The sequence below is a fragment of the Homo sapiens genome, chromosome 4 (genome assembly GCF_000001405.40).
Source record: "Homo sapiens chromosome 4, GRCh38.p14 Primary Assembly".
NCBI lineage: Eukaryota > Metazoa > Chordata > Mammalia > Primates > Hominidae > Homo > Homo sapiens.
The window spans coordinates 133,130,580-133,149,116 of NC_000004.12; the positions used below are offsets into that span (position 1 = coordinate 133,130,580).

Genomic DNA, 18,537 nt, shown 5'->3' on the forward strand with positions numbered 1-18,537 from the left:
ATATGCAAATTAAACACATGATAAAACAAGTCATAAACTCCAATAAAAACAGTTGCTCAAGAAACCAACTGTATTCAAAGTATAATACTAAGCTCAGATAAAAGCAAATTTATATGCTCATAATAATGTAAACACTAAATAATATTTTAACCAAAAAATATAATAAAGCTCTTTTGGGATAATGGAGAGAGAGGAAGCATGTTTTTATATGTATGGGCAGATAGTTAAAAGAAATCTCACTCTGAGACATTAATAGAAACATAGATTCTAAAGTAGAAAATCAAGAAACAGAAATATCAGAGTACTGCTTGGGCCATGCACAAATACCAGAAGAAACAGCTGAAAGATTCACAGTATTGCCCCTGGGGATTGGGTGTCTTGATAGGGAGGCTGGAGCAATAGATCTCTGTTTTGTTCACTGTACTGTTTGATTAAAATTCTAATGTATTACATTGAAAAAAAAATTTAAGTATTTTTAAGAAACTGTAATAATGTGAAGTATGTTAAGCTCTAGAACAACCAAATATTTCTTACGAAGATAAATGATATAATTAGTAAGTTGTAACCATGACATAAAGTTATTGAAAAATAATGCTTTGAACATTTTCAACTATTCTTAAAATGTTGAAACCTGCTCATTTCTAAGTATGTATACTTTTCCTTAGTATATACATAAGTATATATGTATACTTTACATACTTAGTATGTACACTATTTTTTTAGCATACCTTCTTTTTCACTGTCAAAAAATCATACTAGACTTAAATTTTCAGAAATTCTAAATTAATGAAGTACAAATTAATGTCTCATATCTGTTAGGCGGCAAAATCTCAAATACTGCCATGAATTCTGCATTTGAATAAATCTCAACTGAAAAGTAACAAAACTGAAAGTAATCTCTGTACAAGTCTAATATTCTACAGCATAAAAATGTCACTATTAAAATTTTTTTAAAAAAGAAAGTCTCCATTAGCTATCTGAAGTTGAGAAAACACATAAACAAAAATGTTCTCCATTCTATTACTTGTGCATTATCAGGAGACTTCATTTCTGCAATTTATATTCCCACAGTCGTGTGCTAATTTTATGAAGAGTTACTCTGTTGCCTTTTTACTAAAGTGAGAGAGCAATGAAAATATTATGGGATTGGCCTGTAATGCATTTGTAAAGGTGAAAACTTAAAGTGAAATCAAATGGGACATAGGAAATCAAATGAGTTTAAGGATTTAACTATAACCATGGAATAAAAGGTTATTCAGTTTTGCAAATTCAAAGCAGTCTCTGACGAGTCTAATTTAATGAATAAAATTCTTGTTTCTTTTACAATAGACCTTTAAACTATTTCTACTCAGCAGTCTTAAAATGATTTCATTAGGAGGTACTGGAGTTATTGAGCTGAAATGGCAGCTGCTGTTTTTCTTAGTTTCCTTTATTCCATAAAAGGATTGGTAACTTACATTTGGCTTCAAAACACTTCACTGGCAACTCCCCTCTGCTTTTGTTTCTCTCCCAAAAGTTTAATCTAATTTAGAGTTTTCAAAGGAGATAGATAAGGTTCTTTTTAAGAGTAATTAAAAGCGTGATGCCTTTCAGTCACTAATTTCTAAACTGGGACTTACCTTTCAAAGAAATATTAAAGTAAAATAGGTAAAGTTTATCTTAGTAAATACAATTATCTGGGGAAGGGAGGATCCATATGTAAACTAAGCTCTCTGTGCCTGTGGTTTAGCAATATCCACAAGAAAGACAGATTAAGTAGCTCTCAAATTGCATTTTGAATTGTTCAATGGGTGTCAACACATTAAATCCCTTACTCTTAAAGATCTAGGTGATATATTTTTATATTTGAATACTTCTTTATTGTAAAAATATACTCAGTGCTTTCTGGTAACAAAATAGGTTTGATACTGACCCTAGATTTGACCATAGATTTACACAGGTTCCAACAAAATATTACTTAGACAAAAGTGTATGGTCTGGAATCTTTTGGTGAGCCATTTTAGAGTGAACAAAACTAAACCAAATGAGTAGGGAGAAATGTAAATGACTTTAAAAATCCTCTGGTTCAATTAACTAAGGGCAAGCTCTCATACGTTTCACAACTAAGGATTCTTCTGAGGATACAAATAGGCTAATTAAATAGGTAACATTGTGCCTCTTAATTACTCTCATTTCTCCCAGAAAGACATTATATAAATTTAACAATCTGTCTACAGACACTAAGACATATAGTTTCAACTTTATATGATGAAATTAAGTTAGAAACACATCTACAAGTAAATTTGTATAATTCCATATATCTTCCGCTAAAATAGAGCTCATTGTATACAGAAGGAAGAATGATTTAAATGTGATTGAGAAAGTTTTTAATATATTATAATTGTAAATATATTAATTCATTGCACTATAAGCCTATAAATAATAGAAAATTCATTGAGAAACAGGTTTGCAGCTAATGAGGCATGGCAAATCAGTAAGCTAAATATATATGGAGCAGTTTTTAAAAGTAGATTGAATACAATCTGTAATGATGTAATGTATCCATCAGAATCTAAAAATAGATAATACATACAAAAAAATTTTCTTTATCAAAGCACTTTTAAAATAACTAGTCAAGGACTTCACACAATACTGAAATTATTATTTTCATTAATGTAATTTTTTATTTACTTTATATAAATATGGACCATTTCATAGAAATCTTTCTGAAATGAATTAAAAAATATCTCTGCCTTGTTAAAAGGCATACAGGTGACAATATTTAACATGTTCTTCTTGACTGTCATCATTATGAACATCACATATGTAGAACTTGACTGAATTTATCCAGGTTTCTGTTTCTCTAATATTATTATGTCTAGTGATAGTCCCACCTTTATCCTGGGATCCATCCCTCCTTTTCTAGTCTACATACATCTATGACCCAGACATAACTAACTGGTGGTTCAAAACTCGGGTACTCACACTGGCCCTACCATCTTACCACTTTTCCTTTGAGAATATTTTTATCCAGAAAAGTACTTGTAAGCACCTACCACAAAGTTCCAACCTAATTATTTCATGTTTTTCTAAAATAAGTAAGTATGTGAAGACAGTAAGCAAATAAATAAGTAACCTTGGGTGGATAGACACACTGGTAGAACAAAACTATGAAACTTTAGCAGGACAAAATCTTCCAGAGAACTACACGAAATGAGCATTTTGTCACTACAGATTTTGCATGCAGAGGAAATAACATTTTCTAAGATTAGTGCTTATCTAATAGTATAACCAAATGAACTGAGAGAAATCTTATAAAATGTATATTGGAAGCACACTGAACATGTGGTACATTCCAAAAGTGCCCATTATATTGACTTTCAGCATCTTTAAGCATTTTCATTACTACTTGACTACAAATCAGACTTTTGCAAAGGCCAATCAATGGAGGCACACAGAGTAGTCAAGTTTGACAGTTCACTGTCATCAGTTTCTATATCAAATTTACTTGTTCAAATAACAGTAACTAGATTTGTCTTTGCTTTTTATTTCCTTGCATGTATTTTACTGTTAGCTACTCCCCATAAATGATAACGGTGTTATTAAGGTAAACAAGAAATTCCTCCAAGGGTTCCTGCTGGGTACGCAACATCCGGAACCAATGTTCTATCTCCACTGACACTTAAAATACTACCTCAAATTTCTGCAAAAAAGACAACTAACAAAAAATAGAAACTTATTCAAAATCTCTTTAAAAGCCTTCTTGCCATTAGAATGACAAAGTTATTTCAGTGCTTCTGCCACCAATTTAGTGGCAGTGGGAAAACATTTGCCTAGTGGGAAAACATTCAATTTGGTGGCTACTGAGAAATCAGCTTTAAAGCAACTCCTGAAGGAAACCTTAAAAAAGAACAACCAAATTTTTGTTTTTGTTTTCTCTTCTCATGGCATAACAACCATATTCACTTATTATCCCATTCAACCTCACATCTGTATTTTATAACCTCCACAAATTTCATATGAAAAAGTGCTTAACTTAAAATTAAGAGATTCCTTTAACTTGCTCTGCTTTTTCTGATCTCTATGGCACTTTTAATGTCCTAGCATTCAAGATGATTTATTTATCTGATATACTTATTTGATATTTTTTGTCTATACACACACACAAATGAAGGCAAGAACATTGTTCACTAATGTGTTCAAGCATCTTGGCATATTACAGGTGTGCTATATATATTTGTTGAATAAATGAATTAAGTAATTGATCAAAATTTCTTGCCATTTTTCATTTCAAAGTGAAATTACATGGGGCATTACAAGTTACTAATTTCTGGAAGGCTCTATATTATATAAATGTGAGTCCACAAAAGTAAAGGGTCTAATATCTAGATTATCATACAGGTCCATGTAGGCACAACATATATAAATGATTTTTCTTAGGCCCTAGCTAAATATGCAAAATAAGTCAGTTGTACTTCTATGGCAACATCCACATCTCGAAGATGTTTATTTTATTATTTTACTTTAACCTAGGCAACCGTTTAAGTATTGAAATCTCAACTAGTACATTTAAAATACTTTTTAGGGAGACATATCCTGTGGGACTGTGGTAGTTTTAGGTCTAGTATTAGTTTCAGGTGAAAAGTTGCTCATTCTCAACACACTATCTGACTCAAGAGCTATCAAGGTGAGTAAATTATTCAAAAAGGGAAGATAAAACCTGGGGCCCATTACATGTCTCCATCCCAAAAGAGACTCTTTGATCGGTCTCCTATTTTAGCAGATTTTCATGGCTTCACATTTTAAAATGAACTTAGTTCAATACATTTAACTAGAATCTCCTTGGGTTTCTATAGATGTATCCCTATTTTTAACTCCAAATGCTGGAGTGTTCAGACTTTCAAATGCTGAAGAACTATATCTTATCAAAAAGCAATAAAAATTCATTGAAAAGTACTTAAGGAACATACAAGTTTTCAGACTCTATCTTTAAGGACCTTGAAAAAGAACACGGAAATAATATGAAGAAATAGTTTCAATCTGGCTTTATTTAAATCTGCTTATTTCAGATAAGAATCAATAATGTTGATATATCTGCTTGTGTTAAATGGTGCAAAACAATTGGCCAGCATGAATGTGAGCAAATGCAAACAAGAATACCTACTGGAAAATTGTAAGTTGATTATGAGTCAATAATTATAAAGTAATTGAGTATATTAAAATGAATAAACAAATTATGGTGAGGGAAAGAACAAACAAATAAAACAAATAAAAATCCCACACTCGGGCCGGGCGCAGTGGCTCACGCCTGTAATCTCAGCACTTTGGGAGGCCAAGACGGGTAGATCACGAGGTCAGAAGTTCAAGACCAGCCTGGCCAACATGGTGAAACCCCGTCTCTTCTAAAAATACAAAAATTAGCCAGGTGCGGTGTCAGGCACCTGTAATCCCAGCTACTCGGGAGGCTGAGGCAGGAGAACTGCTTGAACCCGGGAAGCAGAGGTTGCAGTGAGCCGAGATTGCGCCACTGCACTCCAGCCTGGGCGACAGACTGAGACTCCGTCTCAAAAAAAAAAAAAAAGAATCCCACACTCAAGAAAACACAAATAGGCCAGGTGTGGTGGCTCATGCTTATAATCCCAGCACTTTGGGAGGCTGAAGTGGGAAGATCTCTTCAGCTCAGGAGTTCAAGACTAGCCTGGGCAACAGAGTGAGACCTCATCTCTACTAAAAATAATGATTATATATATATATATTTGTTTGTTTGTCTGTTTTGTTTTGTTTTTTGTTTGTTTCTTCAAGATGCAGTCTCGCCCTGTTGCCCAGGCTGGAGTGCAGTGATGCGATCACGGCTCACTGCAACCTCTGCCTTTCGGGTTCAAGTGATTCTTCTGCCTCAGCCTCCCAAATAGCTGAGACCACAGGCGCGTGCCACCACGCCCAGCTAATTTTTGTAGTTCTTAGTAGAGATGGGGTTTCACCATGTTGGCCAGGCTGGTCTTGAACTCCTGACCTCGTGATCCACCTACCTTGGCTTCCCAAAGTGCTGGGATTACAGGTGTGAGCCACTGCTCCCGGCCAAAATGATGATAATATTAAAATTAGCTGGGCATGGTGGTGTGCGCCTGTAGTGCCACCCACTTGGGAGGCTGAGGGGGGAGGATTGCTTGAGCCTTGGGAGTTTGAGCCTGCAGTGAGTAAGACCCTGTCTCAAAACAGAAGAAAAAACAAGTAAACATAAATAAAAACGAAGTAATGTTTACTTATCAGAGGTTTATTCTGTAATGTCAACCCTACACTGAGAATATCTCATTCTCAATTTCCTCCTCTACACATGAGAAATTTTGATTAGATAAAATAATTTCAGTTTCAAAGGAAAAGGGGTGTCACATTTTACAAGGTTCAGTATGTAAAACAAAACAACAGGAAAAGCATGCAGGGCACCAGAGTTTGACCTGTTTACCTCGCTTACTTTCACTTACACTACCCCATATGTGTCTGAATAACTGTCATTAAAACCTTCAGATACACTTTGTAAAAGTTTCTCGAAGGAATGAAGTTAATAGACTGCTCTAATGCTCAACATTTTTATTCTCCATGAGATGCCACAGTATAGCTATCGATCATCAATTTAAGGTTTATTCTCTTTCTTGATACCATATATAATTTTCTCATCATTCTCGTGAATATAATACTTTCAGGGTGTATATCAGGCATAAAGAACAGCAATTTTGTACTTAACTTTCTCATAGATAGGTATCATACTTCAGGATAATAAATCAGAAAAGTATTGTATTTTCACAACTTAGCAGTCAAAGCATATTTGCTTGTAACTTTTAAAACAGAAAATGAAAGAGACAGAATAAAAAATTCTCTGTCATTGGCTTGATATGTAATTTTAAGAGTTCATTTAGTTTTAAATTCTCATTTTAATATTAAATCAAGCGGTCAATGAGTTTTATACTCTTTCTAATGTATCTTTATTTAGCAAAATTTTTTAAATGCATCTTAACTAACATTCAGAATAAACTTGAGATTCAAAATACTTCTCACCAGCATTCTCTTATCAAAGGAAGGCTATCTGGTGTTCTTATATTAAGACCAAAAACAGGAGGTGGTTAAGAAACGGGGCTAGAATGACAATAAGCTTAAATATAAAATTGTTAAACAATTGAAAAATCTTCTGTCTACCTGCAGTAACACATGGAATTTAGCTGTGTATACTGCCACCTATAATTCACTGAAATATAACACATTCTTCTTAGATAAAAGAAAATTCACAAATGTTCCTGAATGCAATAAAATTCTGCAAGGACAGTGTGAACATCAACAATTTAAGACAAAAGCACCATATTAAATAGAGGTCCTTAAATATCATGGCATTTATCTTTTTAATTAATTTTTAAAATTAAAACTTTAAGATCTATTAACATTTCTGCTATTACCTATAAAAATTCTTCTTTGTATACAATAGATCTGATTTTAAAACAGAGACATAAATAGGAGTTACTGTTACAGTCCCCAACCTAAGAATCAGATCTCATGCTCCCAAGCATACCCTTATTTTAAACATATAAATATTATGTAAGTCATGAGAATGCCAGCTAAACCCAAACTACTAATTTTAAAGAGAAAAAAGAGAAACATTTTTACTTAGAGAAGCAATTGTTTTAAAATTATAAATGAATTTTCCCATCTCAACATAGCCTAGTTCTGACACATTGTTAAAAAGAATAACGATAAAGATCAATAGACTTTTAAAATAAACAAATCATGTGTTCTAGGTTAAATATTTACTCATTCTTTGCCTTTCTGAGATAAATATAATCTTATTTTAATTCTAGGAAAAAATATAATTAATCAGATAAGAACCATTATACTAAAACAAATAAATGAAGACATAAAAAACCTTTAGGAAAATTCCAATGTGAATTGCGATAAGAAATAAATAACCATCAAAAACATCAGCAACTTAGATTTTCAGTCAGAAGAGAATTTGTCAATGCTATCCATGCATGTTAGAAATAACAGACCTCAGGATTCCAAAATATACTGTCTACTTGGGCCCTGAAAACCAGCTTACTATCTTTCCAACTGAAATAAGCCACCTTCCAGAGTGTCTTGGATTTTAACACCAAAAATTGGGTTTTTAAAAAATCCTCTTAATGAGGAATATTTTAAAAGGCTAACAATTCTACTTACCCCCTCTTGCTACTCCAATGTCAAAAGAGGCTTACATTTTAATAACAGACATATCCAAAATTTTCAAGCCTTACTTTCCCCATCCAGAATCTTCATCTGTTGCTATCATCACTGGTTCACATGACTAGGTCTACCTAGGTGTAGCTCCCAAGAGAAGGTTACTTTCCATTTAGTGTCTTGCACCATGGAAAAAACTTACCATTTCTGCTGTCCTTCAGAAACTTCTGTTTTGTTTTGGGTTTTTTTTGTTGGTCTGTTTTTGTTTTTGTTTGCCTTGGGGAGTAGATATGAAAAGGTACAATGTTAAGCCCGGTTTTAAAAAACATACCTGAGTGATATAAATATTCAGTACGCTATAAATTTAGTTACCCCGTGGTTTTATATATTTAATGAATGCTTAAATCCATCCGTAATTAATATTTGTGTATTGTATAAAACGAAAAAACTAAACCTTCTTTTTCACAACGGTTGTGCAAGTTCTCCACTGTAATCCAAGTATACGCTGTGTGTAGCATCATCTGATTTTGTGATCACTTCTGTTTCACAGATCTGTTTCTATTTTATTATGACAAAAACAAAGTTTTAACTGCAATGCCATTTTTTCCTCACGTGTATGTGTGTGTACACACGTGAGCATGTGTTGTACATTTCCACTTAAACTCTTGCATTCTGGACAACCGACCTACGCTTTATTAGGTGGCCAAAATACAGAGTTAAGTATTTACAAACTCCATAATATTTAAACCACAAACAATATGAGTGTGTCAGTTATGGAATAAAGAAGACTGGGGTTAGCCATCAACCCAAGAGAAGAAAAAAGAAAATATACTATGGCAACCAACGTACCATATTTGAACTGAAATATCTCCATTTCAGAAGGGTGAAGAACAGAGACACTAGAAGCTAAACAGTGTCCCCTCTGACTTGAAATTCAAGACATCATTTTAAATCTAACAGGTCAATCAACCTTTCTTTTTAACTTAACCCTGCAACATGCTTCAAAATTAAAATACCTCCTGATTCTACCTGGGGCAGCAAATGTCTTTCTGTATCAGCCATACTTACTCTGAACATCTAACAGTCTCATCTCAGGTGGTTTCTTCTTAGTATGACATCATGACCTTATAAAATGAACAAAACAATTCAGAATATTGGCCATTGTACTTACTCTATACATATTTATATATTCAACATAGTATTATGAAATGAGAAGAAAATCTGAAAACAAAAGAAAATTATAAGAAGAGATACCACTTTTGAGTAGTGGCAGTTTTGAGAAATGCACTGTATTAATTGGCACTTGTAATTAGGTATAGTGAATTTTTCATTTTAGGTAAAGTTTCTTAAAAATAACATTTTAAAAGACTTGTTACAAATCAGATTATTAAAAACATAGCTTGTGAAACTGAGGTATAATATCTTAGAAATATATTTTAAAATTTAAAACAGAAAGGTAAAAAGTCAAGCATTCATTCATCCAGTCAGCACATCTTCATTAAGTACTAATTAGTTATGCAGCCAACAAATCCATCAAAAACTGTGACCAACTGAATGCTTGTCAGGTTCCTTGGGCTTAAACAATACTTTTACCACTGGTGTTATCCAGCAAAATGTAAATATATTATTGTTAAATTAGGTACTTGGTTAGGTAGTCTGACTAGGTATGGTTTAAAAAAAAGCTTTGAGAAAATCAGCAATCAGCACTTTACCATTAAATTAGCAGCAGCTGCCAAGGTTCTCAAATATATATGCTAAGGAACAAGCAATAATATTAAGTTTTATCACAATTCTAAGACTGAACATTGGCTATTAGCCTAAGACATACCAAAAGCATTGCTCAGGTGTGAATGCTGAATAAAAATCTCACGCATTTCCATTGACATCAAATTGGCCAAGCTTCTAGTGGAGATGGGGAAAACATAAATCAATGAAACAAAATTGAGGACTGCTGGAATTATGCATTTAAGCAACTGGGTCCAAATTCAGGATATTGGCCCATAATTGAATACATTCATTTGCTGTTTCTATGACCTTTCTAGAAAAGTGTTTTTGCTATCCCTGCCTTCATTTCTTTACTGCTCAAGTCCATCTAACCCTATTCAGATATTTCTTTCTACCAATCTGCACCACTGTTGCCATTAAAATCATAACAAAAGCTGTCCTTCTCTAGAAATTTTTGCTTAATTTATTTTATCCAAGTGTTTTCTTTATTCTCCATGCCTTTAGCACTCATAGTCATTAAATGTTTTAATAATTTTCATACTCTTAATGAAGTTATTTGAACATATATATATTCCTTATCAAATTGATTACAAAATCAAGGACTATGAAGTTCTTGAGAAACATATATCATAATTTACATTTATTTTCCATTCTCTCACTATTCCTATGACTAGGCGCCAATGCAACACCAATGCATGTTTTTGAGAGTCTTTGCCTCTCAAATTGTCATAATTACTAAAGAGAATGTTAATAAAAGCAATCATAGGCAGAAAATGGCAAGGAAAATGCTGAAAAGAAAGTTCAAATACAATTGAGGCTTAAAGCTCAGAATTGGGTATTCTAATGAATTCATTCTATTTTAGGAGGCTTATTTTTCACCAATTTGTTTTTAATTTTGAGAATTTTAGCACTCATTAGCAGGAATAGAGGAGAAGGTATTAAGATATTACTCTAAAGAATTGGAAAAAAACTAAATGACTCTATCAAATTAAAGCCCTTTAGTAATAAAATTTTGATAAATATTTAAATAGAAAACTATTTTAAAATGAATGAGCTATCTGCTTACGAAAATGACTTTTATAATCTATCTGCCTATCAGTTTTATCATATAAATTTTAACTTACTGAAAATAAAAGTTTATCTGAAAGAAAGCAAGTAAATGTGATATATAATTATGGGAAAAGCTCATAATTGACTTTTATATTTTTGAAGCTTAACTAAAATTTAGTTAGTTATCTTCTTCACTTATCATTTGCATCTAGTCTTCAAAATCATATTGCAATTTCCCTCAAAACAGGGACACTAAATGTTTTGGTATCTGCTTAGTAAATAATATATATTTGATAAAGGAAATAAAACCCCCAAGAAAATTAATGCCGAGTATTCTCAACAAATATCTATTTATAGACTACCTCATCCAAAACATCTTACCATACAAATAGTTAACATTTACTGAGAATCCACTATAGAATAAGAATTTTACCTATATCATTTCAGTTGAAGCCTCAAAATAACAAGGTCAATGTATCATCATAGTTTAATAAATGTTTCAAATGTTTGACACACTTAATAGGGCTTCAAAGTAATTTCTCCAAGTCCAAATATTTAGAGAAGCAAGAATATGAACCCAATTTGGTTTAATTCTCAAAGTTATGTTCCTCATAAATTTACCATATCATCTCCTGTCATAGTCGGGTACCTTCAGAAATGAGTAAAAAAGAGGTATAACCTACCCTATAGAGCCCATTATGTATCTTCTGAATTACTGAGTTCACTTCTAAAATAAACATGTTTTTCTTCTGTCAGTTCTTATACCAAAATATTCATATAAATTTTACTTATAGTAGTAAATACGATGCCACAATCATCTTCATTTGATTATGTCTTTCAAAATTTAAAGGTATTTTTAAGTTCCTGTCCATTTTTCTTCTGGCATGAATAAATTTAATTTTTTAATTTTCAAAACTTTATAATTAAAACCATTTTTAAGCAACATTGAGGACGAAATTAGCATGAAGTGATACTTGAAATTCATTTAACAAAAACACATTTCCCTTTTTAAAGACTGCTTCAGAAATGTTTACAAAATAAACACCAATATTTGCACCGTGTAAACTGTGTACATTTCTTGATTTTCCTTTGCTTTCAGTCTCTGATGAATTAAGAGAACATGGCATACTTCTGGGATCATTGATCAGTGTTCTTTAGGAATGATGAGGCACAGGTACCTTTCTTTTGAACTTGTTTCATCAATTTTCTTGTTCCTTCCTTGAAATCTATGATTTCCACATTGGGCACTTCTGCATGAGAAAAAGATGACTGCTTATAATATTGCTTTCTTGTAAGAAAACATATTCAAGCTTTGTTTCACTGATAAAAATCCCTAAAGAAGAAAACCCTCAAACATATTTATGAATTCCTCCATCACTCAACTCAGTAAAGTACTAGCCAATTTGACTAGGATAAAATCAGCATTTCTGTCAGTCAAAAATCTGGATTAACTCCATTTCTAAGTTAATTTGAGATTTTTGTTTGTTTTACCTCCTAAGTAAATTCAATTCAGTTAGACTGAAGAAAGCCCATGGGGTAATAAAATGAGCCTGTATATGGGCAGCAAAAGATCTGGATTTGAATTCTGTAATAATGTAGTGAGTTACTTAAACTCTGAACATCCTTATAACATTAATTATAATGTTAGGATAATAAAACCTATATAGATGGAGAATACCAAATATAATTTACATAACAATTCTAGGTAAATATTAAGCTGTTTAAAAACCATTAGTAACTTTCACCTAAAAAGAATAGATGAAATTGCAATAAAATAGAGGATAAAGTACAGCATTTGCCAAGCCCGTTTAAATAAGATATCATGGAAATCATGTTTCTTATACAAAGAGTTATACTAAGCAGGCAGTGAAACTGAGAGAAATACTTTTTTTTTAAATTGAAGTATCTGTTTTACTGTTTGTTCTGATTTACTATTTTAATTCTAATGTAATTCTAATTATTAATGTAATTCTCAAGCTGTGTTTTATATTATTCTGATAATGTCTGTCCCCAATAATGTTTTAAAACTCTTCAGAATATAGCTCTATGACTTGCAACCCTAATCACGATTTGGGTTCTTATCTTATTATAAGAATAAGAATATAGCTCTATGACTTGCAACCCTAATCACAATTTGGGTTCTTATTCTTATTATACAGAATAATCTTATTCTGTATTTTAAAAATCAAGGGGTTTCCTTTTAAGAAAATAGTTTACACTTCCCAGGCAAACACTAAAACTATGCAGGTTTTGTATCACTATCAAATAAAAAGTAAAAACATTGGGTAAGGAAAAAAAAGAGCTCTTTCTAGACAACTTCTCTCTTACTCATATGAACTTGATCAGGACTTGCAATTAATTTTTGAAATTGTTCTGTATAGACCTCTATATTTGAAGCTTCATTTTCTGTCTCTGGGCCATGTCAGTAAAACCCACACATCTCCCTGTTAAGCAAAGCAGCTGGCTTTTTAAATGTGATGTCTTTTAGTTCTTATTTACAATCCTAATCACATCATTGATTTCAGTAATCTTTCAGTAAAAGTAGTTATTAATGCTGTCAAAAGCAGAAACGGGGATTCAATGTTGTTTTCTCTTTTTTTAAATAAACCTGGATAATTAAGATTAAGCCTAATAATGTGACTTTAGAGGCCTCTGGGTGATTAAGCAGTTTCCTGTGGTTGAGGATGCAACACAGCACAGACACCACCCTCGCTTAAAATTCTACATACCTCCCAAAAAATAACCACTTATACAAACCACAAACGGTTAAATAAAAATGCTAGGAGTAGTCAATCATCATAACACAAAGGAAACTAGATTTTTGTATTTTTCAGACTCAAAACACAAACAGCACATAAAATTTTATTTGACTGATTTTTTTTTCTGTAATTTAAGACAACCCATAGTGTGTATTTTGTCTACTAAGGCTACAAAACTAAGGTGCCATGACCTTTTTACTAGCCCAGGTATGTTTCTAATGCTCTAAAGAATAAAACAATGATCTGAAAAAGAGAGGATAAAACAAATATGAAGAGGTTAAGAGACATTTTGGAGAAATAAGATATTTTAATATCCAAAGCAACGGAAGAAAAGGGTAAGATGAGGTAATACATTTTAATTTTTAGAAAAAGAAGTCATAAGGCAATAAAGACTGTCATTTTGATTGAAATCCATTTATCTGCATTCTGAAAGATAGTATGGAACAAACAAAAGTTTTCAAAGGACTATTTACTACCAAAAGACACAATACGTGAAGAATCTGACAAGAATGCATGTTCAATGTCTGTCATCAACCCACCTCCCCAAAACCAAAAGAAAATATATGCACACACACACATATATATATGCATATGTATACACACACACACACACACACACACACACTTTGGAATCAGTATCACAAACCAGTGCCCAATTTAAAAACATTCCTGGACCTCTTATTGATCAATTTCTCTTACAGAAAGGAGCAGAGTATAGTATCTGAACTGAAACAGTATTATTAGAAAATGATATTGTGAGCATTAGGATGTATAATTCATGTTGCTTTCATTTGCTCAGACCATTGTAAAAATCCATAAATCATTTTTTGTTCATGTATTGCTTAAGTGCAATTTGTCATTTTGCATTAGAGGGCTGCTTCAGCTCATTCAGTGCTTTTAATTCACTGTTTAGAGTTTAACAAAATGTTGTCCCTGCTTGATAACTGAAAAGGCACTGAAATGTGAAGCCACCCCAATATTAACTAGGTTAAACAAAATGGAGAAGCACATTTCTACTTTCAATATCAAGATAATGGTGCTTGATGGGATATCTAGTATTTTCAATCCCAAGAACAAGGATTGGTTTGTTCTCTGATGGGCTTGAAGGATTAAAACACAGTAACTAAAGAGTTACCTGAATACTTAAAATTGCATATGCTATAAATCTTTCCCAGAAATTCCAGTCAGCATTCACTTTTTACTATAGATGAACAAAAACTAACACAATGTTTGTGGCATTGGTTCCAAAGCCTTGTCTTCCCACCTCTTAAGTTAGATTACACTACCACAAATAAACCTATTTCATGCTTACCCATAAAAGATGCAATGCACTTTGGGTCTTTTGTATTTGTTCTCTGAGCTGTGCTTGCTGAGAATGACAAGTGCCAGGAACAACCATCTAGGTCAATCCTGGTGGAGCCTGGTTATTGATAAAGTAATTTTTCCTTCCAATTCTAAAAAAAAAAAAAAAAAAAACTTCCCTCAAAGCTCTGGGCACATAGCAATAATAAGAGGATTTAGAAACAAATTGCTTTCAAGTCATGTTAAATCACTGCAAACACTCATTTATCCAAAGGCTGGTTAACAAACTTGTTTCTGCCCCACCCTTTGCAGCAAAGGGCAGAGAAGAAAGCAATCCCTTAACCCAGTTTCAAAGTTTGTAAAACACACTTGTGGGATCCTTAGCGCCCCCCTGTTTCTGCTGCACTTAAAGCCCAATGAAATAAAAAATGTGCACTATCACTCTAATATATAAACCAGGACTTTTATGAAAACTGATTTTGATAACCTCCCTCCAAATAATAAAACTATTCCTCTGTTTCTTAGGGTGCAGTTTGTCCTGGCTCAAACAGTTTGCGCTCCTAGGGGGTGGACGGGGGAGGGTGAAGAAGGGATTACGTACAAAATATTTCCTTCTCCTTTTCCGCTCCAGTAACGGGGGGATTGAGGAACACAGAATATACATGATGCTCTACACTTCAAAGAGGTAGTCAGCCTCATTACTGAGGCTGCCGTATATACAAACCTCATCTCACTAAATTCTGGGGTCCACGGGAGTAAGAATGAAAAAGAAAAACGAAAGGCAGGGATCTGTTTGATTGACACAGCAAGGGAAAAAGTAAACCTGTTACATTTTAGAGGCATTTTAAAAGGCAAATTTAAAGTGTTGTTTTGTTTTGTGGGTGACGGGGCATGGTTGTTTTAAAGGCTCTAGGGTAAAGGGGCATAGAAGGCTATTAATGCCACTATCTGATCTTGGCTCCAAACAAAATGCTCTTGGAATTGCCCTTGGCTGGAGCTATCTAGCGGGAGGCGGAGGACCAGGCTCTGTTCTGTTCGGCCGGGAAGAAGACCCTACCGTCACTCCGCCGGTCCCTGGCTGGCGCCACAAAGACTAGAAGTCGGAGAGGCGAGACCTCTAGGGGGCCTGGGCTCAGCGACGCTGGTGCGGACACAGACCCCTATGACCCAAGAAATCTTGTAGAGCCCCCAAAAGGCGAGCTCTCCAAAGCAAAATTCTCTGGCCTGCCCTATGCTGATTTCGCCGCTAGGAGACGCCTGTAACCCACGTTTGCGGAGAGAGTTCCATTCAAACACATCTGCTACCAAAAATAAAAATAAAAAATAAAAAAAAATAAAAGCAGCTCAAGTGTTACAGTGGATGTAGTGATTATTTACAGGCAAATCTGGCCATCTCATCTCCACCTCTGGAAGCTCTCTGGCTTTCAGCATATGCCCCAAGTCAGCTCAAACTTCATCTACATTTCAGGGGTAGAAACCCTCTTCCCCAGTTTCTGGATCTGCATTGTCATTCAGCTGCATGTCTCCCACATGCAAACACGCGCGCACTCGCGCGCACACACACAAGTGTTTCCATACGTACAAATGAACGCATTAGAAAATTACCGTCATTTTTTAAAAGGCTCCAGGATTCTGACGAGTCAGCTTGAAGAGCTCAAAACATTTCATTTCAATTCTGCAGATCTGAAGAAAAAGAAAGGGGGGAGGGGTGGAAGTACAGATGCAATACCGTATTAATATTCAGATACACTATAATCTCCTTTTCATTGATCCACAGGTCCCTTTATACACTGCCGCTCCATTCTCAGCCGCAGACGTGATGCTAAAATCATTTTAACTGCAGCGGTTTTCGCTTGGCTTTGGCCAGTCTTCAATTTACTGCAGCTGGAAAAGGATTAGCCATTTTTGCTGGAATCCTTTCCTTCTAAGCGCTCAAAGGCAGGACCCATCTTCATGAAAGAGCCAAGTGCGGGGGCCGGGGGGACCCGGCGTTGCGGGGAGTTGGGGCGCGGAAATCAGGGCAGTAGACGTGCATTCGCGGGACTCTCAGAAGCACGTCTCAGGCTACTATCACGCCCATGGACACTAGCCCTCCTTAACTCCTTGCCAGGAGGAAATGGCAACGTATCTCCAGGTCGGAAAACGACTCTACTTTTCCCGCAGGTTGTGGTGGTGTATTCTTGGGTCATTCATTACCAGAAAGCAGCAAAGGACCTTCCTATCTCTTTGCATAAAAAGGAGATTGAATAGGGGCTTCTTTCGTGAATAAACAACCAATTCCTTGCTAGTGGCCCATTAATTAAAAATATATATTTATAGATCTTTCCTTAGAGAACTGGCATTCTATCCACTCTCCAGCATTAAAGAGTTCGCGCTGTGTTTTAACTTCACAAGAACTAGCTATGTGGATGTGCCGCGTTGCCCCTGCGCCTCCGGAAGGGGCACTCACAGCTGGTCAAGCGCGTCCTTCGGAACTCGGGGAGGCTCCGTTGGGGCTTACACAGAGCTAAGCCCTGGGCCAGGGAGGATGGATGCAAGTACCGTGCATGTGCAAACGTGTTCGCAGATACCCGCAGCGGTGCACACTCGGGCCCCTCGTGTGCACGGGCCCTGCCCACCACCCCGCCCGCGTTCGCCGCCGCCCCACTGTCCTCATCCCGCGGGCTGACCCCAGGATTGGCAGAAATCAGTGGTCTAATCTAGCATGGTGGGTAAAGGGATCGATCTCCAATTGCCAAAAAAAAAATAGAAAATAGCCGGTGTTCCCAGCCGCTGCGTGGCACTTGGCCGCACAAGGCGCAGGGATATCAGAGGCGCTTTGCAGCGCTTGGCGGTGCTGTGTGCCGGATGCCCCAGAGCCCGGCGTTAGGATGGCGGGCTTGTAGGAAGCGGCTCAAATCAACTCCTCAGTCACTGATGAACGCGCTCACGGCTCGAAGCTAGGTCCTCGAGTGAGTTAATCTACTTGGTAAGTATTTTGTGAATATGTATTTTGGGAGGAAAGAAGCACGTCGAACGCGTCTGCCCGTCTGTAAGCGCTGTCATCCCCACATCCTTTAGCGTGAATTCCTCCGCTTTTTAGGAGTCACCTCCACCCCCTACTCCGTATGCTTCGCGCCTTTCCTCACGGCCCCGTCAGACCCCCTCACCTTTAGATTGACACATGCCATATAATACTCACTTTTAAAATGCCCTGCCAGTCTCTGCTAGGGTCCCTTAATTAGGTAACCCTTGCCAATTAGTGGGCCCTGCGCTACTTTTTCCCTTCTCGATGATTTATTTCCATGATGCGTATTAGGGAAAATACCTTAAAGGAAAAAGAATGTTAGCATCATTGGAAATCCCGCTCCTAGGAGAGGATATCGCAGCTGTTGCTATTATGTTTTCGCATTTGCTGATGCAAACAGGGGAACCTCTCTATTCCCTCCCCATTACCTGCGGCTGGGGACTGGGAACTTTCCGCGGCATTGTCCCCAGCCAGCGCCTCGGGACCTGCGGGGCTGTTCTCGCTCTCACACTCACA

General features: G+C 35.4%; 1 long non-coding RNA gene across 1 annotated transcript in view, besides 1 other annotated feature; it reads right to left on the reverse strand.

Moving 5' to 3' along the window:
• Positions 1–18,537, reverse strand: part of PCDH10-DT (PCDH10 divergent transcript) — a 55,257-nt gene extending 36,720 nt beyond the window's left edge. The window contains exons 1-7 of the long non-coding RNA NR_125885.1: positions 18,450–18,537; positions 16,620–16,697; positions 15,025–15,166; positions 12,132–12,203; positions 10,007–10,080; positions 9,247–9,302; positions 8,381–8,454 (exon numbers count right to left, since the gene is read on the reverse strand). This is a non-coding gene — a long non-coding RNA (PCDH10 divergent transcript). The remainder of the gene's footprint in view (positions 1–8,380; positions 8,455–9,246; positions 9,303–10,006; positions 10,081–12,131; positions 12,204–15,024; positions 15,167–16,619; positions 16,698–18,449) is intronic.
• Positions 18,459–18,518: an enhancer, noted in NCBI's record as "active region_21907". NCBI's record gives its function as "activates an Ori minimal core promoter by ATAC-STARR-seq in GM12878 lymphoblastoid cells {active_cell/tissue: GM12878}" and the evidence as "EXISTENCE:reporter gene assay evidence [ECO:0000049][PMID:35858748]".